The 27,928-nt window shown below is 34.7% G+C and overlaps 1 long non-coding RNA gene and 1 pseudogene across 1 annotated transcript in view, besides 1 other annotated feature; both read right to left on the reverse strand.

The window, feature by feature from the left end:
• The window catches only part of LINC00971 (long intergenic non-protein coding RNA 971), a 231,171-nt gene that overhangs the window by 45,559 nt on the left and 157,684 nt on the right, over positions 1-27,928 (reverse strand). The window contains exons 12-15 of the long non-coding RNA NR_033860.1: positions 12,195-12,378; positions 11,747-11,919; positions 11,402-11,552; positions 1,677-1,817 (exon numbers count right to left, since the gene is read on the reverse strand). This is a non-coding gene — a long non-coding RNA (long intergenic non-protein coding RNA 971). The remainder of the gene's footprint in view (positions 1-1,676; positions 1,818-11,401; positions 11,553-11,746; positions 11,920-12,194; positions 12,379-27,928) is intronic.
• TMEM183AP5 (TMEM183A pseudogene 5) lies at positions 7,716-8,708 on the reverse strand (annotated as a pseudogene).
• Positions 11,721-12,920: an enhancer, noted in NCBI's record as "CDK7 strongly-dependent group 2 enhancer chr3:84744835-84746034 (GRCh37/hg19 assembly coordinates)". NCBI's record gives its function as "activates an origin of replication core promoter dependent on BRD2, BRD4, P300/CBP, MED14 and CDK7 cofactors, with strong dependence on CDK7, by STARR-seq in HCT116 cells {active_cell/tissue: HCT116}" and the evidence as "EXISTENCE:reporter gene assay evidence [ECO:0000049][PMID:35650434]".

Here is a 27,928-nt window from a genome sequence, read left to right on the forward strand (position 1 = left end):
ATTTTTGCTTCTCCCCTTTCTAAAGAAAATTGTAGGATTACTCTGTGCCACATCAGGCCTATATGAAGTCTTGTTTTTATTTTTAGAATAAAAACCTCTAAGAAGTGAGGCACAGTTTGCTATGTCTCCTTTCCACAGCCACAACAACCTACATCTCTGCAGACAGTGGAGTTTACATCAGGTTATATTATTCAGGAAAGGCAATATAGAATGAACCCCTGTTTATGGTATCAAAAGTAGAGTGCTGCCTTAAAAAGTAAGTTGCATTGGCATCTGCTTTTAAATTCAGCAGACTTTAAAATAAAACTTGAATTAGAAGTTAAAAATTGGTGAAATTTACATTGGTAAAATATCTCCTAAAATTGTGGTTTTAAATAATTTAGAAGGATTGATTACCTAAGAAACTTTTAGATCTAAAGATTGGAAAACAGAATATTAGTTTCAGAGTATTGTTTCAGTTGCTAGTAGTTTCTTTAGGAACTGTATTGAAAGAAACAGACAAGCTCAGATAAAAGTAGCCATTTTGCAAGCAGAAATAAAAGAAAAAAGAGAGAGATTTTAGAAATTCAGGGCCTTCAGATGTTGAAAAATTCACTGAACTAACTAAGATCATAATACGAAGACATGAAATTTAGAAAATATTTTGATCCACAACAGCAGACGTATACTCAGCCTTGAAGTAATTTCAATTTACCAATAAGATGTCACTAAATGTGAGTTGGGAACAGATGTGCATAATTGGTTCTTGCAAGTAAGTGTAAGCTGGCTCTAATGTCCCAGTCTGTCATCCTCCAGCAGGCTATCCTGGGCTTGTTCTCATATTGGTGCCATGAGCTCAAGAAAACCGGCAGAAGTATTCAATACCATATAAGGCCTGAATTCAGAACTGACATATTCTCATTTCCTTTGTATTTTATTGCCTGGAGCATGATACAATGATAGCCCAGAATCAATAATGTAAAAAGAACTCTGAATCATGATACAATTCGTTACTAAGTCACATTACAATGAACATGTATTTGCCAAACTTCTGATAAATGTTGATTATACTACAAATAAGAAAAGGATTAAGAATAAGTATTAAATGATTGCAGTCATATGTTCTATTTTTAACTTAATGTTTTAACATAAAAATAGGTATTCTAGCAAAGTTGTGAAAGATGAGTGAATTTACACAATTTCATTCCACACATCAATCACTGCCAGCCATTAAATCTATTTAGTTTTGTAATTGTTGTTACATTTGTTAAGTTTCTGAAGGTTGTAACAGACAGCTTCGCTTTGGTAACAAACAGCTCTCAAATTCAGTGGCATAAAACATGAGTCATCAGAAGCTTTATGTCTGCAGCTGCTGTTCTGCTCCATGTGTCTATCCCTTTTGGACTGTAGTTAAATAAATAACTTCCATTTACACCATCCCTGTTATTAGAATGGTTAAAAAAAACACACAGAAAAAAAGATAGCTGATAGAAGCTTGCAGTTATGTTTACTACTCAGATATGTTAATTACACCAGCTTACATCCAAATGACCAAAAACATCACATGGCTATCTATGCTCAAAATTAACAGACATTTTCTTTTCTTATAATTGGTAAGGCACTATAATTCACTTGCCAATGGGAAATAATGTATTATCCTTTTATAAAAAGCAAATAATTGGGGCGGTAAAATCTACCAAAGTCTGTAGTCTTGATCTCTTACGCAATCCCAAAAGAAGTTACTCCGAAAGTCTTATCCAATCATTGCATTGAGTTTGAAGTCCAGAATTTTTCTGTCCTCTCTTCAGGTCTGAATATAATTCATATCATCTAGAAATCTATTGTATAAAATAATACAAATAACAACAATGATATACTAAAAAAATGTTACTTTCTCACTATATACTAAGCTACAAGAGTGAAGATATACAGATCAGCCACAGTAAGCATTTATTTTAGGAAAAGGGAAGATGAGACGCTTCTAGTAGTCAATGATTCATAGAAATTCTGAAACTTATGCAGAACACAGTTTAAAAATCTAAAATGATCATAGGAAATCTTGATTAGGCCATTATTTTCTCCTAAAGATAGTCCTCAATTCTGACATATTCATTAGCCATTAGCTCTGTTCTCTGAAAAATTCTTCCTTTTTCATGGTCATCCTTGGACACTTCTTAAAAGAGCAATAAAAAGCAATGTCCTTTGGGTATATACCCAGTAATGGGATGGCTGTGTCAAATGGTATTTCTAGTTCTAGATCCCTGAGGAATCACCACACTGACTTCCACAATGGTTGAACTAGTTTACAGCCCCACCAACAGTGTAAAAGTGTTCCTATTTCTCCACATGCTCTCCAGCACCTGCTGTTTCCTGACTTTTTAATGATAGCCATTCTAACTGGTGTGAAATGGTATCTCATTGTGGTTTTGATTTGCATTTCTCTGATGGCCAGTGATGGTGAGCATTTTTTCATGTGTTTTTTGGCTGCATAAATGTCTTCTTTTGAGAAGTGTCTGTTCATGTCCTTCACCCACTTTTTGATGGGGTTGTTTGTTTTTTTCTTGTATATTTGTTTGAGTTCATTGTAGATTGTGGATATTAGCCCTTTGTCAGATGAGTAGGTTGTGAAAATTTTCTCCCATTTTGTAGGTTGCCTGTTCACTCTGATGGTAGTTTCTTTTGCTGTGCAGAAGCTCTTTAGTTTAATTAGATCCACATTTGACCCAGCCATCCCATTACTGGGTATATACCTAAAGGACTATAAATCATGCTGCTATAAAGACACATGCACACGCATTTTTATTGTGCCATGATTCACAATAGCAAAGACTTGGAACCAACCCAAATGTCCAACAATGATAGACTGGATTAAGAAAATGTGGCACATATACACCATGGAATATTATGCAGCCGTAAAAAAATGATGAGTTCATGTCCTTTGTAGGGACATGGATGAAATTGGAAATCATCATTCTCAGTAAACTATCACAAGAACAAAAAACCAAACACCACATATTCTCACTCATAGGTGGGAATTGAACAATGAGAACACATGGACACAGGAAGGGGAACATCACACTCTGGGGACTGTTGTGGGGTGGGGGGAGGGGGGAGGGATAGCACTGGGAGATATACCTAATGCTAGATGATGAGTTAGTGGGTGCAGTGCACCAGCATGGCACGTGTATACATATGTAACTAACCTGCACATTGTGCACATGTACCCTAAAACTTAAAGTATAATAATAATAAATAAATAATTTTTAAAAAAGCAATGTCTCCAGGTAAACTGTGTCTATGTGAGCCTACACTGCCCAGACTTTCCAAACTCCATGCAAATAAATAACTTCACATGCTATAAACATTTACCATTGCTAGGAGGTAGAGAATTCCTTGAACCTACTGTTATAATTTCTGAAATAAACATCTTCCAATAGATCTACAAGTGAAGCTCCTGCTTCAGAAACAAGTTTATGGACATGAAGAGTGAAGGAGAGGAGTTGTATTCGTTTCCCAGTGCTGGCAGAACAAATCACCACAAATGAAGTGGCCTAAACCAACAGAAATGTACTCTTTCACAATTCAGAGGCCAGAAAGCTGAAATTGGTAAGGTTAGTTTTTACTGGAGACTCTAAGAGAAAATCTATTTCATGTTTCTCTCCTAGCTTCTGGTGGTTTCCAGCCGTTTTGGGGATGGATTGGCTCACAGACGCATCTCTCCAATCTTTGCCTCCATCTTCACACAGTGTTCTCCCCTGTGGTCCTGTGTCCAATTTCCCTCTTCTTAAAAACACTAGTAATATTGGATTTATGGCCCATTTAGGTGGGCCCTCGATCCAGTTTTACTTCATCTTAACATGATTATACCTGCAAAGATCCTGTTTCAAACAAGGTTACCTTCATAGGCTTCATGTGGATATGTGTTTTTGGGAGACAGTCCTCAGCCGCCCTCTTACAGGAGGCTTAGGAGAGAATACAGGAGGATTGTAGAAACTAAAGTCAAAGCACAGGCATAGATGTCCTCAGAAAAAGTCAAATTAGTAATCAAAAGTCTGGAAATTGGTAGTGCCTATCACTTGGTCTAGGGATGAAACTTAGAAGTTAGTGGGACTGAAGACAGAAAGCCTGGAAGAACATTTCTCTGCAGAGAAATGAGATAACTAGAGAAGGGTAAGTTGCCATTTAAGATAAGACAGTAAACAAAAATTAAAAAGTTATATTGAAAAGATAAAACAACAACAAATACTGTCATATTATTTTAAAAAGTTACATTTTACTATACTAACAAAAGACGGTATTTTTAAATAAAAAATATGTCCATTACCTGCCTAGGAATAAAAATGTCAGATAATTTTCATAAAAAATTTACCTTAACAAGAGAATAGAAAATAACAATCAAAGTATTCCAGCTGAGAAAATTTACCACTCCCATCACCATAACCTTTATCTATTAATGAAACATATTTAAATACATTGATGAAAGAATGTAATCTTAAAGTAGGAACTTGTCCATGAAATGGTTAGGAATAGGAAACATCAGACCAACTCCATAAAAAATTACAGTAAAGTAAACTAGATAAGAAAAATCAAAACATTTGAGGTAATATAATTCTTTGCACAAAGTAATCACAAAGGAGAAGAAAATTGTACCAATCATAAATGAAGAAAATTTAAATACATTCAAAAAAGCATATGAAAACATAAGAAATAGACTCATATTTGAAAATGTAACAACAGAAATAGCAATATTAAAGTAAATGCAACGATTTTTGACTTAGGCAAGCGAAGAAATTACAGAAAATGAGAAAACAATCTCAGTATAAAGAATAAGTTATAACTTATACCAGAGAGAAGTGATCTGAATAAAAATTTATTAAAACAGACCAACAGGCCCATAATTTACAAGAAATTGGGTAGAGTACTCAGAGGGATCTTAATAGAAATAGCAATAAAATAAATGCTGTTATTTTCTCACCTAATAAATGTTTAAAATAAGGCCAAAAAACAAAATCAAACACTTTCTAAGTAAATTATCAGAGCCTCAGAACAAAACTCAAGAATATTTATAGAAATAAAAAAATCCATGACTCAACAAAGTAAAATTTAAAATGCGTACTAATAGGTCAAAAGTTATCAGCCATGCAGCAGCAGAAAATCACATCCTATAATGAGGAAGAAAACCCATCAATTGAAACTGATCCAAGACTGACACAGGTACTAGAATGAGCAGTCAATGTCTATAAAATAGTTATTAAAACTATCTTTCATTTGTTCAAATTAGAGATATTGAAGATATATAAAAATAACCCCAATTAAACTTGTTGGAGAAAAAATTTGAATAGTTGAGATAAAAATGCATTGGATCAGATTAATTTCAGATTAGATATTGCAAATAAACTTATATAAACATGTTATTGCAAATAAACATATTCATGAAATCAAAGACAATTTTTTATTTCTTTATAAAAGATTCAAAATAAAACAGTGAAAAAAAACTATTAAAAATAGTGGAAGTTTTCTTATAAGCCCTTGACAGGGGAAAAAAAAAGAATGAAAGAATATAAGTAGGTCATGTGGCAACATCAATTTACCTAACATATGTATAATTTGAAAAAACAAATGAGGCAGAGTAAAGGGGCAAAAAATAAATTTGAAGAAATAATATCTGGAAAATTTACAAAGTCTAAATTATGTATTCCACAGATCTAAAGAGTTCAAAAAACCAAAGTACAAAAACATAAAATAACTATTCAAAATTAAATCTTAATCAAATTGTTCAAAACCAGTATTAAAGGGGAAATCCTAGAAGCCAACAGAGAAAATATAATATTTACCAATGTACAGACAGAAGGAAGGCAGCAGATTTTTCATCAGCAACAATGTAAGTAAAATGGCACTTAAGCAATTCACTAAAGGTTCTAAAGAGTTGTTAACCTAGAATTTTATGGTAAGGAAAAAATATTTCAAAAACAAAGGTAGAATAAAGTCTTAAATATACATACAAAAGCTCAAATTATTGTCACTATTAGACACACATGAACCAAAATATTAATGTCCAGAGCTCCTGCAGAAAGAAGAAAAATAATACTAAATGATTTACAAAAAGGAATGAGTGGCATCAGAAATGGTGACTCTATGGATGAATATACAATTTTTTGTTATTGTTTAATTCTTTTTAAAAGATAATTACCTATTTAGAAGAGGATTCCAGAAAAATGTTGGAGTACGGAGCACCAGAAATCTCTGTCCCCACCTAGTCAACAATTGCACTGGCAGAATCACTTTGCTTGACATATTTCGGAACTCTACAGTCTATTGAACAATTATAAATTTCAGAAGGCTTGGATGTAAATTGCAGTTAATTTTGGCTCTTAGCTCAGTATTGATTACTCTTCTCCCAACTCCTAGCTTCATGCCAACAGCTGTGCATGTGTTTCTTGAAAACCCTGCACATAGCTGGGGTGGATGATAAGAATCCTGTCCACCAAACATTAGGAATCTGTGTTTTGTTTACTGCATATAATCACAGATGTGCAGACATGGAGGCAGGCAGAGACTACTGCACTTCCCAGTCGCATGGTTGCAAGTCCTTCACCCTACACCTGAAGTGACATCCAGTAGATCTCAAAGTTCAGTAGCTCCATTCTTCATTTTACTTTTTCCCCTTTGAGAGCCAGATATTAAAGACTAGAACATCCAAAATCAACCACATGTATGAGGAAATTAAGAAGTCATTGTGCACGCCCAGCAGATGATGTATGCTCTAAAAAGACCTGAGGAGACCTTAAGTTTACACCTTAGGCTTATCCTTATAACAGAAATGACCTACAAAAATCCAAACAAAGCCACCATAACAAAAGACAGAGCAAATCCTGAGGAAGAATGAGAATCTTATTTGCAGAACTATTACATTATTCAATTAAAATGTCCAGTTTTGATTTAAAAAAATTACATGTCTTCCAGGCATGGTAGCTCACGCCTGTAATCCCAGCACTTTGGGAGGCCGAGGCAGGCAGATCACAAGGTCAGGAGATTGAGACTATCCTGGCCAACATGGTGAAACCCTGTCTGTACTAAAATACAAAAAATTAGCCAGGCGTGGTGGCACACACCTATAGTCCCAGCTACTCGGGAGGCTGAGGCAGGGGAATCACTTGAACCCAGGACACAGAGGTTGCAGTGAGCCAAGATCACACCACTGCACTCTAGCCTGGGTGACAGAGTGAGACTCCATCTCAGAAAAAAAAAAAAAAATTACCGGTCATACAAAGAAATAGGAAAGTATGGCCCATTCAAAGGAAAACAAAACAAAACAAACAAAACAACAACAACAACCAAACTTTCCCTAAAAAAGAACTGAGAGAAGATCTAAAATGCAGACATTAAAACAACAATCTTAAAGATGCTCAAAGAACTAAGACATAAAGTCAAGAAAACTATGCATGAACAAAAGGGAAATATTAATAAAATATTAGAAAGCCTAAAAAGGAACCAAGAAGTAATTCTAGAGCCAAGAAGTACAATAACTAAAAAATTCACTAGAAGGACTCAAAGGCAGATCTAAGCATAATGAAAAAAGAATCAGTAAACTTGAAGATGAGACAATAGAAATGATGAAGTCTGAGGGATAGAAGGAAAAAAGATTGAACCCAAGTGAACAATGACTAAGAGAATGAGGTACCATCAAGCAGGCTATCATGTGGAAACCCCAGAAGGATAAGAGAGAGAGATAAGAGATAAAGATGAAATTGAGGGTGGTGACCTACAATAGGCAGCACACCTGGACTGAGTTGGTGTGAACATCTTCATACTGAAAGAGAGACTGCAATCCTCCCGTACATTGCTCTTTAACGTAGGGGCCTGTTTTTTGAACTTGAAGTTGATTTCCCACATCGGTTCTTCTCTGGGCCCATTCTGCACCAGAAAAGTAAGCATTTGGAATTCTTTAATGTGCTGGGAGTGGCTTCTGCAATGGCTGGATTCTTGGAGAGTTGAGCCACAAATCACTTATACAGTACAGAGACTGGATCACATATGCCCAGAGACTGCAGCTTCCCCATTGACTGTGGTCACAGGTGCAAAGGCTGAAAAGCATTCAGCATGTAATGCTTTTGATATAACCTGATCCAAAAGGCAGCAGTACAAGTGACAGTCCAGGCATTTTTACAAATGAAGAAAAATTTCACAATATCCTCAGGACAGACGTAGGAGGCGGGAAATAGTAAAATATCCATGGGACACTATGTTGTTCCAGCCCCGTCTAGGTCTCCTGTTTCCTTTTTCTTTTCTTTTTTCTAGAGACAAGTTCTCTCATGGATGTTTTCCTCCTAAGCTGGATCCATCTCATCACTGCTGTTGATGATGTCACAGTGTTCACCTGTCCCAGAAAAAAAAAAAAAAAGCTTCCTCTAAAGGAATCTGGAAGGCTTTTAAGCCACAAATAGGTTTTACTTCCTGCTAAATAGCATTAGTGACTTCCTTCTTGACTCATCCAGACCTCATGATTGCCAGATCTGGGCTGGCATAATCTGCCACAGTCACTAGTCTGGAGCAGGCATCGTAGGCCCAGAACTTGAGTCACTTTCCTCTCTCAGGTATGGCAACCATGTCAGAGCAAGACCAGCCTCGGGGGCTGGGACCCCCAGCCATGTCTTGTTCCAGAGAGCCAGCCCTAGGAGGTGCAGGTCAGCTACACCCAGCTTTGCAGACATCCCACAGGCAGAACTTTCAATTTAATCAATGATGACAATTAAGATCAGTTGTTGCCTGGGAAAGTTGGTACTAGCATGGTAGGTAGGAAACTGTGATTACCACAGGGCACAGAGAAACTTTTGTAGATATGTAGATTATGAATATATTCAATATCTTGAATGTGGTAATTATTGTATGGGATGTATACATTAGCAAACTTGTCAAGTTTTGAAAAATTTAAATAAATGAATGTTATTGTATGTTAATTATACCTAAATATTATATTAATTTTACCTAAAACCATATAGAATTAATATAGAGACATTAGCAGTCCTGTTTTTTTTTTTTTTTTTTTTTTTTTTTTTAGACGGAGTTTTGCTCTTGTCGCCCAGGTTGGGAGTGCAATGGCGCGATCTCAGCTCACTGCAACCTCTGCTTCCCAGTTCAAGCGATTCTCCTGCCTCAGCCTCCTGAATATCTGGGATTACCTGTGCCTGCCACCATACCCGGCTAATTTTTGTATTTTTAGTAGAGATGGGTTTTCACCATGTTGGCCAGGCTGGTCTCAAACTCCTGACCACAGGTGATCTGCCCTCCTGGCCTCCCAGCAGTCCCATTTTTAACATAAATACAGGCAATAAAATTCTCTTTTAAAATAAGATATAGCTTAGCTGTGCTCTCTCTAATTGGAATTCCTATGTGAAAAATGTTAGAGAAAGCTGAGTATTGATAGACATTGTGTTCAGAAGTGAGGTTTAAAATAATGTTGGTTTGGAACTATTCTTTATACAGTTATTTTGTCAGATAATTTGAAGTTGTAATGAAAACAACAGATATAGTAGCTGTTCACCAATAGTGTACCACATTTTGTGGAAGGAGACACATGCCATTATAATCTAATACTTGGTCATGAAGAAACTACAAAAATGTCATCATGATAGTAAGTCACCCATGCTTTTCGGACAAGCTGCAATCTCTGGTTTCTTTTAAAAATTTAGTCCTTAAAGGAGTGTTTCCCAATTGTTTTCTTACTCATTACCAGTTTTAAAGGTGTAAATAGCTTACACACTCATAAATTTTTCAAAGTTCAACTGTTTCTGCTCTATTGAGATACACAGATATGTTAATCCTTAATTGGCAACTTACCACAGGCCAAAATTTAGTACACTTCAGTAGTATTTATGGTTTGATTTATAAAACCAATGTTCCGTTTATTTTACAAATAGTCAATAATATTATAACAGTGAATATGATACTAAAGCTACCTCTCTTAGATTGTATAGGTTTCAGAAATAGTGGAAGTGTTCACCACTTTGGGAATTACTTTGTGGTCAGTTGTTCAGAAGTTATTACAGTTAATAAATATATTTACTTCTATCACTACATGATTACTCTTACCTACATAAACCCCTGTATTGTAGGTTTCTATGTAAATCTATATTTAATCTAACTTTAATCTTTATACTTGCATATAAAAAGCATACTAAAAATCTGGGACAATTGAGTAACTTCAATAAAATGGATAAACAGACATTTTAGTTTCTATAATATATACTATTAATTGACACAATAGGTTTCATTCATTTATTTGTAGTTATGTATACATCAGAGGGTAGATAAAGGGAACATGAATTACTGAATACTTGCCTCAAACTCCAACTTACTCTATATAAGCTTGACTTTTTTACTTTAAATGTTAATTGTTTTAACATGTTAAGTATACTTTTACCTGAGAAATTGAGCAATCACAGAAGCACTAAGACAGTAGTGATCACATTCCAAATAGAGTGTGGGTATAAAATCTTTTCCTTATGCTGCCGGTTTATAGAGCTCATTTCCATGCCCTGTTACTCACTAATGTTATTATGGTTAAATTGGAATCTCGCTGGTGACAATCGCACTACATGAAATTTTTCCTTGTAATTATAATATTAGAAAAGGATATGTTGTGAAAACTATTAGCTTGATTAGTTAAAATTCTAAAATGTGTGCACTTGTTACATTAGCCACGTATTTGTGAAAAATAGTGTCTCTTAATATCAGATTAAAAGTTTAGATCTCGTATTCTAACCAAAACAGATTAAGACCTAACTGACATATATGCATTATCCTTCTGAATGTTCCATTTCTGGCACCTTATTCTTATTTTGCCCCAGGAAAGGACAAATACTTTTTTTATAAACCTGAAGGCATTTTTTAAATGGTCCTTCCTTTCAAATAACTGAAAAAGAACAGTTTTTCTGACTTTAAACTTGCATTTTAAGTTTGTGTTAGAGAAACATTATTCAGACCTTCAGCAGAGCACTGGCTACCGGGGATTTAGAAAACACCCTGGCAAGCGGGCAAAAATATGACAAACTCTTTATTCTTCTAGAATGATTTTCAAATATTAGAGGTCCAAACAACAATTTGCAGAGCTGAATGGTATTTTTCTATTATCAATTTTCTTATATTCCTAGATAATTTTCTCCTCTATCATTTGCTTCATTTAGAGATCATCCATGGATTTCTACCTTATTAATATTACTATACTCTTCCATCTATACCCAACACCATCATAACAAATAAACAACAAACCAATGGGAGAATAAGTAGAAAAAGCATGTACCTTTCTATCTACTCAAGGCCTGATATTAATGAGAAATCAAATAGAATTGACTTCCTAAAACATTTCTACTATCTCTGGTCCTGGCTGTGTTAACTGAGAAGTGCTCCTGAAAACAGGACTTACGTGCAAGTGATTTATTTGAGAAGTTGTTCCTGGAAGCATTAGTGTGGGGTGAGGAATCCATGGGACAGGAAACAGAAGCGACTAAGTAGAGGGTGGAGCCATCAGCCGATCACTGTTGTGGGCAAATGGAGCTCATTCCCAATGGTGATCTCTGGGAAATGGTAGAATTGATATCAGCAAACCACAGCTTTCAGGTCACGCCTGGCACATTGCCTGTTTATGTAGCCCCCATGCACAAAGGGCACCGCTCCCTAGCAGTCTAGCACTGTGAGTTACGGAAAGCAAGCTAAGACATCCCCATTTGCCCGTTTCTCCCAGCACTTGCCTGTTTCTCCCAGCACTTGCCTCATCAGTCTATGACTCGCCTTACTGCTGCACAGGGCCCTTGCCAGCTGCCACCTTTGCATTGGTTGGAAACTTCTGGGCACCTAGCATTGGAATCTCAGTCTAGGTGGGAGTCAGGGACTCGGAAAGTTGCCTGATCACTGTCCAGCTGCCCAAATTGAGTTTGCAAAACTCTTCAGGAAAGAAAGAAGCACAAAGATCTGGGTATTCCTGGAGCACAGAATAAAACTGATAGGTGGAGAAGCAGCCACCATTTCCCACCCCCAGGTATTCCCTCTCTCTGGTTGATTGTTCTTCCTCTGGAAAATTTTTCCAGCTGGGCCAAAGCAGGCCCACCACGTGGGAAGACACACCCCAGGAAAATGAAGCAGGGCATGAGTTTTCTGTCTTTTTACATAAAGTGACTGTACAATAGCCTCAATTTTGCCTCTTGGCAGATAGTACTTACATATTATCCAGCCTATGAAAGGTTAAACAATGGCTCCAAGGAGGTCTCATTCCTAATCCTCAGAATCTGTGAATATATTGCCTTCCCTGGCAAAAGGGACGTTACAGCTGCGATTCATTTGAAGATCTTGAGACAGAGAGATTATCCTAGATTATTCTATGTGTCCAATACAGTCGCAGAGTCCCTGTCAGAGGGAGGAAGGGAGTCAGACAGAGGAAGGCAATATGAACACAAAAATAGAGTCAGTAAAGGAGATAAAACACTACGCTGCTGGTTTTGAAGATAGATAAAGGATCACAATTCAAATAATAGAATTTGGCAAAGGCAAGGAAACAGGGCCCATCCTAGAACCTCCAGAAGTAACCAGCTCTACTGACAGTCTGATTTCAGCCAAATGAGAATGATGTTGGACTTCTGCCCCCGAGACCGGTAAGATAATAAATTTGTGTTGTTTTTATCAACTTATATTTGTGGTGGTTTGCCTCAGCTTCAATAAGAAACATAATCTAAAAGCTTTTTGGCTCCTAGTGTAAAATAATGCTTCCCAAATTTTAGCATATGTAGGGGCTATCTAAAGATTCACTTAAATCAGATCCTGAAGCTCATCCACCAGATATTCCAATTCTGTAAGTCCAAGAGATGCCACTTGGATTTCTAAGAAGCCCTCAGCTAATATGACTGCTTTTAGGGTGTGGAATTGGAATAACCCTCAGGTAGAATGTACTTATAAGTTGTCCTATTTATGAGGCAAGGAAGCTGCTGTAATTTTTCTTTTACACTGTCATTGGATAAGAGCTGCTCCCTGGGCATCCACTTGCTCAGCATTTCCAGCCTGCTTTCTAGGTAAGTGCTTCTGGCAAAGTCATCAGGGGGAGAGTTCCAGGTGCTTTCAGTAGCAAGATTTTCTGAATGCATGGAAGAGTGAGTGCCAAGGTGATATGGAAGAGTACACATAAACTGTCTTTGATCTCTTGTTGCATTACATATACATGGTGAAGAATGGAAGGTTTTTCTCTATCTGAATCATGCTCTTTTAACAAATAATATTTGTTAATCCATATGTTTTAGGATGGTAGGAAGTCTACAGTCCTATTTTATTTACCCTTATTAATTGATCCTCATATCACTGGAGGTGTTGATTTTCTGAGATCATTCACTGTTTAATAATGCTCCTAGACTATGTGAAAGGCTAATGTTCTGTTTTGTAACACCTATTTTCTGTTGGCTATGCTGATTTTGTTTAATACATCGCTGTACCTCTACATTGACTAGGCTTGTTTTCCAACAGTTTTCTCCAATTAGTTTCCCATGTTAACAATATTATTACTGGAAAATACCATTACATTCTTTTTCTCTGTATATATAAAGGCTAAACTATATTATATTTTCAAAATGAGAAAAGAACTTGAAATGATTCTTACCATAAGACCAACTATTATCTTCCCAAAGGGGAAAAAGAGCTTATACCAATAAACAAAAACAAAAAGTTGCCAGAAAGTACTGACATTGGGCATTAGAGAGCATCATGGACAGGGATTGAACCTTGCAGCTGAATGAGCGGGATAAATGATAACAAGCTTTAGCGATAGCAAGACTAAACAACAGGTCCACTAAGGAAAAATAAAATCTGAACATTGTATGTCAGCAATACACTAAGCCTCAGAACAGATTATCCAAGAATGTAACAAAGATGAAATTAGCATTAGTATCTCCAGAGCTTACAAACAACATCATAAAACCAAGATAAGCCATTTTGGTATGCATATAAACAGGCAATGCTAAAGCACTCATTTCTTAATTTAGAAATTGAGATTTAGTTTTAAAAGCTGTACGGATTAAATAAAGATAGAATTCTTTATTCCAATATGCCATATAGAAAATCTTAATGAACATATTGCATGTAAAATAAGAAAGGAACTGGTCTTTGGAAAGGTGAGGACTAAATCCAAAACTGTCTTTAGAGTGTAAAAAATCCGTTTTTATAAGTGAGAAAGCTGCAATTATACCTTTATGTGATTATTGTCTTTAATCCAAAATGTGTTTGGGGTAAAGTTTTAAATGATGTACCAATATAGGAAATGAAGTTTTTTTAATTTGTTTTCAAATTTCAACTTTATCACAGTTCCATAGTATATTAATGTATAAAATTATAAAAGTATAATGACCTCAATTAATCATATGGTCACTGATTTTAAGCTTAGAAATGTAGTTATTTTTATAAATCAATATCCACAAAATACATTTTGTTTTGGTTTGCCATTTTGTCATATTAAAATTTTAAATCTTTTCTATCAAGTTCAAGGGAAAATAAGCAACGTGTAGCACAGATGACAAAAAAAACTCCAATGCAATAGAAACATGCATATGTATTGTATACATACACACATATATTTCTATTGTTACAAAATATAAATATATTATTACAAATATACATATATATACATAAATATACTTGTATCATTACAAAATATATGCTAATTTATTATTTTTACTGGTAATAAAAAGGAATCCAGGGTCAATACTATTTTCCCATAGAACAAACTTAGCTAAAACTTATGCACCACCAAGAATAAGCATTAATCACTTGATTAACATATTATTATATGTGATTTTAACAGCATATATTTTGTATGCAACCAGCTTATTGAAAAATAACTGTAACAAGTTTAACAGTAGCCCCCCAAAATTTATATTCACCTCAATCACAGAATGTGACGTTATTTGGAATAGTACTTCTACAAATGTAACTAAAGGATCAAGATGAGTTCATATTGGATTGAACTGGGCTTCAAGTCCAGTAAGAGTGTCCTTACAATAGACAGAAAAGAACATGCAAACATAGACAAGTGGACATGTGAAGAGAGAGTCAGACATTGAAGTGATGCATCTATAAGCCAAGGGATGCCAAGAATTGCTGGCTGCCCTTAGACTCTAGGGAGAGAGGCATACAACAGATTCTACCTTGAAGCCTCCAGAATGAGCTAAACCTGCAGAACTCTTTGTTTCAGATTTCTGGCCCTCTGGAATGTAAGATAATACATTTATGTTATTAAAGTTATCTAGTTGGGGGTAATTTGTCATGGCAGCACTAGAAAAGTAATATGTAATTAATAAAGAAAAATACAGAAACTCTAACTTTTATACTTTGATGAGAATAACTAGTACCTGAATCAGGAACATTACCAGCAATCGAAAGGGATACCATGTTGTAAAGGTATATGCACACAGACACACACACACACACACACACACACACACACACACACACACAATTTTCATAGGCTAATGTACATTCAGCTTTGTAAACTCATTCAGTTTCCGAAAGTTATTGGAGTACATTATGCTCACATCAGTAAACCACAATACAAATATGCAAGTTTCAGTTTATGTCTTTGCCAATACTTAATATTTTTTGCACGCTTTATAATTAGGTGTTCTAATGAGGGTAATGACATCTAATTGTGATTTCAATTTTTATTTCCATAATTATTAATAAGGTGGAACACCTGGCAATGTGTTTATTGATCATTAGAATTGATATTTTTATGAAGTAATCAGTTCAATTATTCTTTTTCCTTTTAGGTTGTTATCTGTTTTATTGAACTTTAGAAGTTCTTTGTACATTTCACATAATAATACTTTTAGATGAATACGCTAAAATGCCTTCTCCCAATATGGCTTAAATTTCCACTCTCATTTTGATGACTTTTAATAATATTATTAATTTTAATGAATTACAATGTATCAGTCTTTCTCTTATGTTTAATTCCTTATATGTCTTATTTTAAAATATCTTTGGCTACTACAATGTCATAAATATACTCCCACATTCACATATAAGGTTTTACTGTTTCAACTTTTGCAATTAGATATAGAATCCATCTAGATTTAATTTTTGTGTATGGTAAGGCAAAACACACACACACACACACACACACACACACACACATATATATATTCAATTGTCCCAACATTATTTTGTAAAGCTAACCACTTACTTTCTGCACTAAACAATCATTAATATCATAAATCAAGTAACTATATACATGTGAATGTTTCTGAAATTGTCTCCCATGCAGAATATTACATAGTCTTAAATACTGTCACTTCATAATATATAATACATAGTAGTTTTAGCCTTCACTTTGTTGTTCTTAAAATTACTTTGGCTTACACTTGCCCCTTTGAATTCTAGCATATATTTGGGAATCAGCCTGTCAATTCAATAAAGAAAGAAGGGAGAAGAAAAAAAAGGAAAGGAAAGGAGAAGAAAGGAAAGGGAATGGGAAGAAAGGAAAGGGAAGGGAAGGGAAGGAAAGGGAAAAGGGGAGTAAACAGGAAAGGAAAGCAGAAGAAAGAAAATGTCATATTTTAACAAAGAATTCATGACTAAGACCCCAAAAGCACAAGCAACAAAAACAAAAATAGACAAATGGTACATAATTAAGCTAAAAAGCTTCCACACAGCAAAAGAAATGATCAAGAGAGTGAACAAACAACCTGCAGAATGGGAGAAAATATTTTAAAAATGTGCATCCAACAAGGGTCTTATATGCAGAATATATACAGAACTCAATTCAACAACAAAAATTAACAGTTAATCCCATTAAAAAGTGGGCAAAGTATATGAATAGGTATTTTTGAAAAAAAAGACATGCAAATTGTCAACAGGTATGTGAAAAAATGCTCACCATCACTATCATCAGATAAGTGCAAATTAAAACCGCAACAAGATATCATCTTACCCCAGTCATAATGGCTATTAGTAAAAAGACAAAAGTAACACCTTGGCAAGGGTGTGGAAAAAAGAAAACTCTTAAACAGTGCTGATGGGAATGTAAATTCGTGCAACCTCTATGTAAAACACTATGGCAATTTCTCAAATAATTAAAAATAAACCTACCATTTGATCCAGAAATCTTGCTAGAATCTATCAACTCAAAGAAAAAGAAATTATTATATTAAAAAATCTGCATTTGTATAAATTTCACAGCACTATTTACAATAGCAAATATATGGAATCAACTTAAGTGTTCATCAATTGATGGTTAGATAAAGAAAAGATGGTACACATACACCATGGAATACTATTCTCCCATGAAAAATGGAATCGTCTTTTGCAGCAACATGAATGGAACTGGAGACCATTATCTCAAGTGAAACAAGTCAGACACAGAAATATAAATATTTCATGTTCTCACAAGTCAGAGCTAAATAATGTTTACACATGAGTCTAGAGTGTGGAATGATAGACAATGAAGACTCAGAAGGGTGTGGGGGTGGGAGAAGGGATGGATAATGAGAAATTACTTAATGTGTACAACATACATTATTTGAATGATGGATACCCTAAAAGCACTGACTTCACTGTAATACAATCGATGCATGTAACAGAATTTCACTTGTATCCCATAAATTTACATGAATTTTGAAACATGCATGGAACAGTAGATAATTATGAAGAGTGCCGGCATCTTTTGAAAATTGAATCATCCAATTCATAAATTTAATATATCCTCTGCTTATTTAGATATTCTTTGATGTTTAGTAGTAATACTTATATTTTCTGATGGAATTATTGATGGAATATTTATATAAAATTTGATTCTATCAATTTTTAAAAATTTGCTTCTAAATTTTAGTAGTTTATTGACTATTTTGGATTTTTTGAGTATATAACTATGTCATCTGAAAACAGATGCAATTATATTTCATCTTCTTCACTCTCTTTTGTTGCTGGATTTCCCAAAACATATGCTAAGTAGAAGTGAACAGTGAACAACCTTGTCTCATTGTCAATTTCAATGTGAAATTCATTATAAAATATCACATTTTCTATATAATTATTTAAGATATTCCTTATCAGAATAAAAAGTTCTTAGATATACATCATATGAGTTTCTGTTATAATTTTTTATGAAATATATATCTACATGTATGAGATTGTCATTTAATTTTTTTGTTTTGTTTATTAATATAGTTAATTACATTCATTGATTTCCAAATATTAAACTACACTTGCATTACTAGAATAATGTCAGTTTGGGAATTACATGTTATTCTCTTTGAATATCTCTGAATTCTACTTGTTTTAATTAGGTTTTATATCATCTATAATGATGATCGGAATTACTATATAGTTTTCCTTTCCTATTAGTAATGTTTTGGTAGCAAAGTTATACTGGCTTTATGTAATGAGCCTGGAGGTGCCCCCAACCCTTAGTTTTCTTCTGGAACAATTTGTGTTATTTCTTATTTCTTCCGCAAATGTTTAGAAGAATTTACTCTGAAAGCCATCTGGACATTCCTGTGGTAAGATTTTATTTCAGATTCAATCTCTTTAATAGATGTAGGACTATTTAGATTTTCTATATCATTACATAAGTTATTTTAACATTCTTTATTATCTGTTTTACATTTGAAGGCACCATAGTGGTGTCACATTTCAATTGCTACTATTAGTAAATTCAGATATCACTCATTTTTTTATAAATATTAATAGACTTTTTGAAGAACCATATTTTATCATTATTTTTTATTGTACTTCTGTTTTCTGGTTAGTCAATTTCTGCTATTATATTTAATTTGTCTTTAATTTTACTTGTGTTAAGTAGAGATTGGTATGCATTTTGATTCCTGAGATGTACACATAATTTTTCAGTCATCACTAATATACAAATTGAGACTCTAAAGTTTACAATAACTTTTGGATGGTTCATTTAATATTTTTCAATTTAAAATATTTTTTTCTGATTTTAATTGTGATTCATTTTCTAATCTATGAGTTATTTAATAGAAATTACTATTCAATTTCAAAATGTTTGGAGATTTTATTGATTATTTTTATATCCATATTAATTTCATGTGGTTAGAGTGTAACTCTGAATTGATTCAGTACTATAAAATTCATTGATTCTTCAATATCATTAAAATGGCCATACTGCCCAAAGCAATTTATAGATTCAATGCTATTGCTACTAAACTACCAATGATATTCTTCATAGAACTAAGAAAAACTATTTTAAAATTCATATGGAACTAAAAAGGCCCCCGTATAGCCAAGGCAATCCTAAGCAAAAAGAGCAAAGCTGGTGGCAACACTCTACCCAACTTCAAACTTTACTACAGGGCTACAGTAACCAAAACAGCATGACACAGGTATGTAGAGAACCCCGAAATAAGGCAGTACACCTGCAACTGTCTGATCTTTGACAAAACTGACAAAAACAGGCAATAGGAAGAAGACTTCCTATTCGATAAATGGTGTTGGGATAATCAGCCAGCCATATGCAGAATATTGAAACTAGACCTCTTTCTTACACCATATACAAAAACCAACTCAAGATGGATTAAAGACTTAAATGTAAAACTCAAAACTATAAAAACCCTGGAAGGCAACCTAGGTGATACCATTCTGGACATAGGAATGGGCAAAAATTTCATCACAAAGATGCCAAAAGCAATTGCAACAAAAGCAACAGAGCTTCAGTACAAACAAAAGAAACTATCGGCAGAGTAAACAGCCTATACAGAATGGGAGAAAATTTTTGCAAACTACGCATCTGACAAATGTCTAATATCCAGCATCTGTAAGGAACTTAAACCAATTTACAAAAAAAAAAAAAGTAACCACATTAAAAAGTGGACAAAGGACATGTACAGACTCTTTCCAAATGAAGACATCCATGGAGCAAACAATCATACAAAAAAATCTCCGCATGACTGATGATTAGAGAAATGCAATGAGACACCATCTTATACCAGTCAGAATGGCTATTACTAAAAAGTCAAAAAATAACAGATGCTGGTGATGTTGTGGAGAAAAAGAAGCATTTATACACTGTTAGCGGGAATGCAATTTTTTTCAGTCACTGTGGAAAACAGTGTAGCGATTCCTCATGGACCTAAAATAGAAATAGCACTTAACCCAGAAACCCATTACTAGGTATATACCCAAAGAATATAAACTGTTCTGTCATAAAGACACATGCACGTATATGTTCATTGGAGCACTATTCACAACAGCAAAGGCATGGAATAAACCTAAATGCCCATCAATGGTAGACTGAATAAAGAAAATGTGGTACATATAAACCATGGAGCTGTCTTAAAAATATGGTATCATGTCCTTTGCAGGAACATGGGTGGAGCCAGAGGCTATTATCCTTAGCAAACTGACTCAGGGACAGAAAACCAAATGCCGCATGTTCTCACTTACAAGCGGGAGGTAAATGATGAGAACACATGGACATACAGAGAAGAATAACAGGCACTGGGGCTTATCAGAGGGCGGAGGGTAGAAGGAGGGAGAGGAACAGGAAAAAAAAAAAAAACTAATGGGCACTAGGCTTAGTACCTAGGTTATGAAATAATCTGCACAACAAACCCCACGACTCAAGTTTACCTGTATAACAAACCTGCACATGTAACCCTGAACTTAAAATGAAAGTTAAAAATTTAAAGAAGATATTTATTGATTCTTGATTTATGATGCAGACTATAGTAAATGTGCCATGAGAACTGTAGGCAATATGATTTCTATTTTCTTTATATCGTGTTTTGTTGTTATTTTATTCATTTCTTAATGGTGTTTTTCAGGCTTTCTCTATTCCTACAGATTTTTTGTGTATTTTTCATCAGAGAATGAGAAAACTTTTTAATCTTTCACTAAGATTGTGAATTGGGCTATCTCTTTTTAGCTGTGATAATTTTTGCTGTATACATTTTGAAACTCTTTTATCACGAGACTACTTGTTTATATTTGTTATATCTTACTTGTGAACTCACCTATTTTTGAACATCTGTTTTTCATTTTCTTAACCTTTCTGACATAAAGTCAATTTTGTCTAACATTTGTATATCCATATAAGTTGTCTTTTGGCATGTGTGTTTATTGTGTATATTTTTATATCTTTTAATATCAACCTTTCTGTTCTCTTATATTTATACTGTTCTATTATAAGAAATATGCAACTTATTTGTTTTAAGAAAGTCTGAGAATTTTTCCCCTTTAATTGGAGTTTTCAAGCTATTAGATTTAACATAATTGCTGATTATGTTTACATCTACCATCTTACTATTTGATTTTAATTATCCCTTCCCCATTTTTAATATGTTTTATGGTATTTTTAACTAAAATTTTTATTTTTCATTGAAAAATTTTTATGGAAAAATTTTTGAAACATTTTTAGGTTTCAGATGACATGATTTCCCTCTTGGGAAGAGTTACCTTATCCCCTGGTTGAAAGCTAAATGGAAGGATCCCTTCAATTCAAACAGCGAGTGAGCTGAATGGAGGTAGTGTTTCTGAATTTGTAAAGTTCAAACTATATCATGTTTTCCTTCAATTAAGCTTTCTCAAGTGGAAGTCTTGAAATTTTACTAGAATACTTCATTTAGGTAGGTCTTGAACGCCAATATTTATCCCCTTAGCAGTCTGAGGCTACTAAAATAAATGAATAGTCATAATAACTCACAAACAAAAAATTCTACTCTATTTTTGCTTTCTATTAGCCTCACAAAGCTTAAAATGTTGGTTAATGGCTTCAGGGGAAAATAATTAAGTCTAAGAACTTCAATGCTTCATAACTGCCTTCTTTTAGGAATCTTGGTCCTTTAGATGCTTGCTGTCTCAGAAACTATCCTATGATTCTAAATAGACCATAACCAGAAACAAGAATTCACAAATAATTTTTATTCCATGCTTCTGATTTTTTTATAAATGTTTCTGTAAAAGAACTATTCTAAACACATATTTCAGTGAAAATAAATTGAAGGCTGGCCTACAAGAGATAACAGTCTTGAAATCATTTAATCATATTTCAATCTGCAACAAAAAGGCCAAAAATATTGCCACTCTTTTGTGCCTTGAGTCAAAGTTTGCTAATCAAATTCTGTCTAAATGAAGTAAATAATTGATGCTTAAGAGGTTACCTCCTTGGAGGCATTTTAACCAATTATATGAATTATTACAATAAAACTACAAAAACTATATTTCTACTTGGGAATATTGCTCTTTCATTATTCTCCTTCCTTTATATTCAACAACTCTCCTTTTCCATGGAAGTATCCTATTAACATTTAAGTATCACAAGCTTCTCTCATTTAAAAAATAAAATACTCTCTCCAGACCCTTTATTGTTCTTCAGTGGTGCAGCTCTTCTTTTAAAACCAAATGTCTTCAAATAGAAGCATGCAATCCCTCTCTTATTCCTCAATTCTTACTCAATGCAAAGTGCACTAAAGGCACCAAGGACTTCCCCCTCTTAATCCATAGCAGTTCTTCATTCACTGTAGCCCTCTTTTAAGCAGCCAAAGTTATTGACTATTGACTCCTGGGAATGCCATTTTTTCCCTAACTTCAGTGTTGCTTTTTTTCTGGTTTTCCTTTGACCTATCTGGCTACCCTTCCTCAAAGTCTTTTGCAGGCTTTTCATCTTCTGCATTTCTCTTAAACATTAGTGTCTACCAAATTTCTCTCTTATACTTTATTCTAGTCATATTTAATAAAATATATTTAAATTATTTCATCACAAAATATCATTCATTCTGAAACCTAAAACTCAGAGCTCTTTCTTCAACCTCAAATCCACATATTCACTGATTACTGGATGGCACAATTTAAATGCCCCATTAACCTCAAATTTAACACATCACAAGCTGAACTCACTAATTCCCCCCCAACCCCGCTAACTTACTCATCTGTCTGCACTTCCAATGTAAGTAAATGACTACACCTAGTTATCCAAGGAAACTATTGCTTCCAATTAATTACCAAAATCTAGTCATTGTATTTCCCTAAATGTTTCTTGAGATCTTCACCATCTCCACTGCCATTATTCTAGGGCATGCTATAATTATTTCCCTTTAAGATCATGGCAAAGTTTTCTAGTTAATTTTGCTGCATCAATTTTTATCTTCCTAAAATTTATTCTACTCTATGAGGCCAAAGTGACATTTTAAATATTTGAATTGAGGCTGAGCCACCGAAGATGGCTCACTACAGATGTTAAATGTCATTTCTCCTCAGAAAGAAGATCAAAATTACAGGTGAATGGTCATTATCCAAATGGAAACCTGAGGAAATAGAGCCAGGACCTGTCAGAGAGCCCACAGGAAGAAGCCAGGGTACAGAAGAAGAAAGTAGCAAACCTCTGGCAAAGACTGACTTGAGGAGCTCAGAGTCCTACAGAAGGTTTTGGTGAGGGGTCCTTCTCTGCTCCCCTCACTCTTGTGACAAATTGCTGATTACCAAATTGTCAGAGGCCTTATGCCTTTGCAACAACAGGCAACCCTGTCGAAGCAATTTGGGAGCTTCTGAGGGTCAGGACACTGAGTGGCCAGCCTGTGCTAATGCACCTGCACTTCCCTCAGGCCCAAATTGAGACGGCACTTGCCATATTGGTTGTGCACCCATTGTGGGCCACTGCCCTGCTTGGGGAACCTCAGCTCTTATGTCACTGCACTAACAGATCTCCAGCAAACATACCCTAGAACCTGTTTTGATTTTGTCAATTACAGGGGACTTGCAGGTCCATGGGTTCCCCACAGATCTAGCCCTTGGCATGGCCCCCAGCCAGGAGAGGGGAAAATTCAGTCTTCTAAATGCAACCCCAGGAGATGGAAAAATGCAGCCTTGAGACAAAAGAAATGCAGGAATGGTGCCAATTACTAAAGGGGGCAACACCCAGGGCCAGGAAAAGAAATAGACGGGGTGGGAGGGGGGTGATTTCCCACTCCTTCTGTCCACTGTTGTTGATACAGCAGGGGCTTTCCCACCTGCAGTCTCATGCATGCACCCTTGGAGTTAGCCCCGCTAGTGCTTTTTGCAGTGGCTGCACCCTGTTGTAAGTGAGCCATACCACCCAGGCATGCACAAAAAACAGGGCCCGCCTCTTCCTCCTTAAACAGAGTGGTGGCATCCCAGCAATGGTGGGCAAACAAGCCACAGCTGTCTGCTCTGGACAGAGAGAAGTTCTTCTCTGAGCCCATTTGAATGGTAGCCACCAGAGGGGCATTTTTGAGAACCTCAATTGCACAGCAACAAGGAACCCTTCAGCCATCATTAAAAGGTCCCTGAGGCTTCACCAGAAGCTGTGCAGATGCTGGTGTCATGCTTGTACAACTACAGAACCGTAAGCCAAACAAACCTATTTCTGAAAATAAATTATTTTGTCTCAGGTATTCCATTTTGGCAGGGTAAAATGAACTAATACAGTATCCAAGGATAATGATGAAGAAAAATTCATAAAGGCAGATAAAGAGAAGAGTCAAATCATCTATGAAGGGAATCCCATCAGATTAAGAGTGAAATTCTCAGCAGAAACCTTAAGAGCCAGAAGAGATTGAGGGCCATTTTTAGTCTTCTGAAAAAAAAAAAAAAAAATTCAAGCCAAGAATTTTATATCCTGTCAAACTAATCTTCATAAACAAGAAGTAGTCTTTCCCAGACATGTAAACATTAAGGAACTTTGTCACCATTATGCTGGTCCTAAAACAAATGTTCCAATGAATTCTAAATATGGAAAACAAAACACACATAAATAAAATATTCAGAGATCCAATAATGCAATTACACAACTGAGATTACAAAGCAACTAGCTGACAGCATTATGATGGAAAGAAAACCTCACATATCAATATTAACCTTGTATGTAAACAGCCAAAATATTCCACTTAAAAGATGTAGATTGGAAAATTAGATTTTTAAAAAGACCCAACCATCTGCTTCCTACAAAAAATGCAGCTAACCTGTAAAGACAGTCACACGTTCAAAATAAGGGGTAGAAATAGACGTATTGTGCAAATCAAAACAGAAAAGAGCAGGGTTTGCTAACCAGCAATAGTAAATAAAAATAAAAAAAGACAAAGAAGGGTATTAAATAATAATAAAGATTTTAGTTCAACAATCCAACAAGATGACTTAACTGTTCTAAATATATACGTACCCCACATTGGAGCAACTAGATTCATAAAACAATTTCTTCTTGGCCTTCTAAAAGACTTAGACAACCACACAATAAGAGTCAGAGAATATAACATGTCACTTATAGCATTAGACAGATCATCAAGGCAAAAATCTAACAAAGAAATGCTGAACTTAAATTTGACACTTGACCAATTGGACCTAATAGACATCTATAGAACACTCCAACAAACAACCACAGAATATACATTCTTCTCATCTGCACACAGAATGTATTTGAAGATCAATCATATGCTCAGTCATAAAGCAAGCCTCAATAAATTTTTTAAAAATGAAATTATACCAGACACACTCTCAGACCACAGGGCAATAAAAATAAAAATTAATACCAAGAAGACTTTCCAAAACTGTAGTTTTGGAAATTAAACAGCTTACTCCTGAATAGCTCCTCTGGAAACATCAAAATTAAGGCAAAAATAAAAAAAAATTCTTTGAAATTAATTAAAATAAGGATAAAACTTCTTAACAAAATCTCTGGGATTCAGCCAAAGCAATCTTAAGAGGAAAATTTATTAGCCCTAAATGTCTTCATCAAGAAGTTACAAAGATCTCAAATTAACAATCTAACTTTGCAACAAAGGAACTAGAAAAGAAATAATATACCAACTCCAAAGGGAGCAGAAGCAAACAAATAATTAAAATTAGAGAAAAGCTTAATGAAATTGAGATGCAAAAATAAGATCAACTTTCGTTTCAAGGTTTTGTTCTTAGAAAAAGTAAATAAGATGATAGATCACTGCCTACACTAACAAAGAAAAAGAAAGAGAATATCCAAATAAGAACAATCAGAAATGACAAAGGCTACGTTACAATTGTTCCTACAGTAATACAAAAGATCCTCAGAGAATGCTATAAACAACTTTATCCACACAAATTAGAAAATATAAAGGAAATAGATAAATTCCTGAAAGCAAACAATCTTTGAAGACTGAATCAGGAAGAGCTTGAAACTGTGAATAGATCTATGTTAACTTCTGAAATTGTTATCGTCTGTTCAGGGTTCAAGATTTAAGCTAGCAGGGTTGTATTTTTCCAGGAATTTATACACCTCTTCTAGGTTTTCTAGTTTATGTGCATAAAGGTGTTCATAGTAGCCTTTAATAATCTTTTGTATTTCTGTGGAGTCAGTTGTAACATCTCCTGTTTCTTTTCTCATTGAGATTATTTGGATTTCTCTCCTTTTCTCCTTGGTTAGTCTTGCTAATGGTCTATCAATTTTATTTATCTTTTTAAAGAACCAGCTTTTTGTTTCATTTATCATTTGTATTTTTTTTGTTTCAATTTCATTTAGTTCTGCTCTGATCTTGGTTATTTCCCTTTTTCTGCTGGGCTTCCGTTTGGTTTGTTCCTGTTTCTCTAGTTCCTTGAGGTGTGACCTTAGAATGTCAGTTTGTGCTCTTTCAGTCTTTTTGATGTAGGTGTTTGAGGCTATGAACTTTCCTCTTAGCTCCACCCTTGTTGTATCTCAGAGGTTTTGATAGGTTGTGTCATTATTGTCATTCAGTTCAAATTATTTTTTAATTTCCATCTTGATTTTGTTTTTAACCCAATGGTCATTCAGGAGCAGGTTATTTAATTTCCATGTATTTGAATGGTTTTGAAGGTTCCTTTTGGAGTTGATTTCCAGGTTTATTCCACTGTGGTCTGAGAAAGTGCTTGATATAATTTCAATTTGCTTAAATTCATTGAGGCTCGTTTTGTGGCCTATCATATGCACTATTTTGCAATAAGTTTCATGTGCAATAATAAGCAGTGAGATTGAAACAGTAATTCAAAAATTACCAACAAAAAAGTCCAGGACCAGATGGATTCACAGCAGAATTCTATCAAACATTCAAAGAAGAATTGGTACCAATCCTATTGAAACTATTCCACAAGATTGAGGAAGAGGGAACCCTACTTAATTCATTCTATGAAGCAAGAAATGCCCTAATACCAAAACCAGAAAAGAACATAGCCAAAAAATAAAACTACAGTCCAATAACCCTGATGAACATAGATGCTAAAATTCTTAACAAAATACTAGCTGCCTGAATCCATCAACATATCAAAAAGATAATCCACCATGATCAAGTGGGTTTCATACCAGGGATACAGAGATGGTTTAACATACACAAGTCAATAAATGTGATGTACCACAAAAACAGAGTTAATAACAAAAATGACATGATCATCTCAATAGATGCAGAAAAACTATTTGACAAAATCCAGCATCCCTTTATGATTAAAACTCTCAGCAAAATCAGCATACAAGGAACAAACCTCAATATAATAAAAGCCAGCTATGACAAACCCACAGCCAACATAATATTGAATGGGGAAAAATTGAAAGCATTCCCTGTTAGAACTGGAACAAAACAAAGATGCCCACTCTCACCACCCCTCTTCAACATAGTACTGGAAGTCCTAGCCAGAGCAATCAGACAAGAAAAAGAAATAAAAAGCATCCAAATTGGTAAAGACAAGTCAAACTGTCACTGTTTGCTGATGATATGATTGTTTTGTCTCAAAACCCTAAAGACTTCTCCAGAAAGCTCCTAGAACTGATAAAATAATTCAGCAAAGTTTCTGGATACAAGATTAATGTATGCAAATTAGCAGCTGTTCTGTACACCAACAGCGACCAAGTGGAGAATGAAATCAGGAACTCAACCCCTTTACAATAGCTGCAAAATAAATAAATAAATAAAATACTTAGCAATATACCTAACCAAGGAGGAAAAAGACCTCTACAAGGAAAACCACAAAA

This window comes from Homo sapiens, chromosome 3, assembly GCF_000001405.40.
Source record: "Homo sapiens chromosome 3, GRCh38.p14 Primary Assembly".
Taxonomy (NCBI): domain Eukaryota; kingdom Metazoa; phylum Chordata; class Mammalia; order Primates; family Hominidae; genus Homo; species Homo sapiens.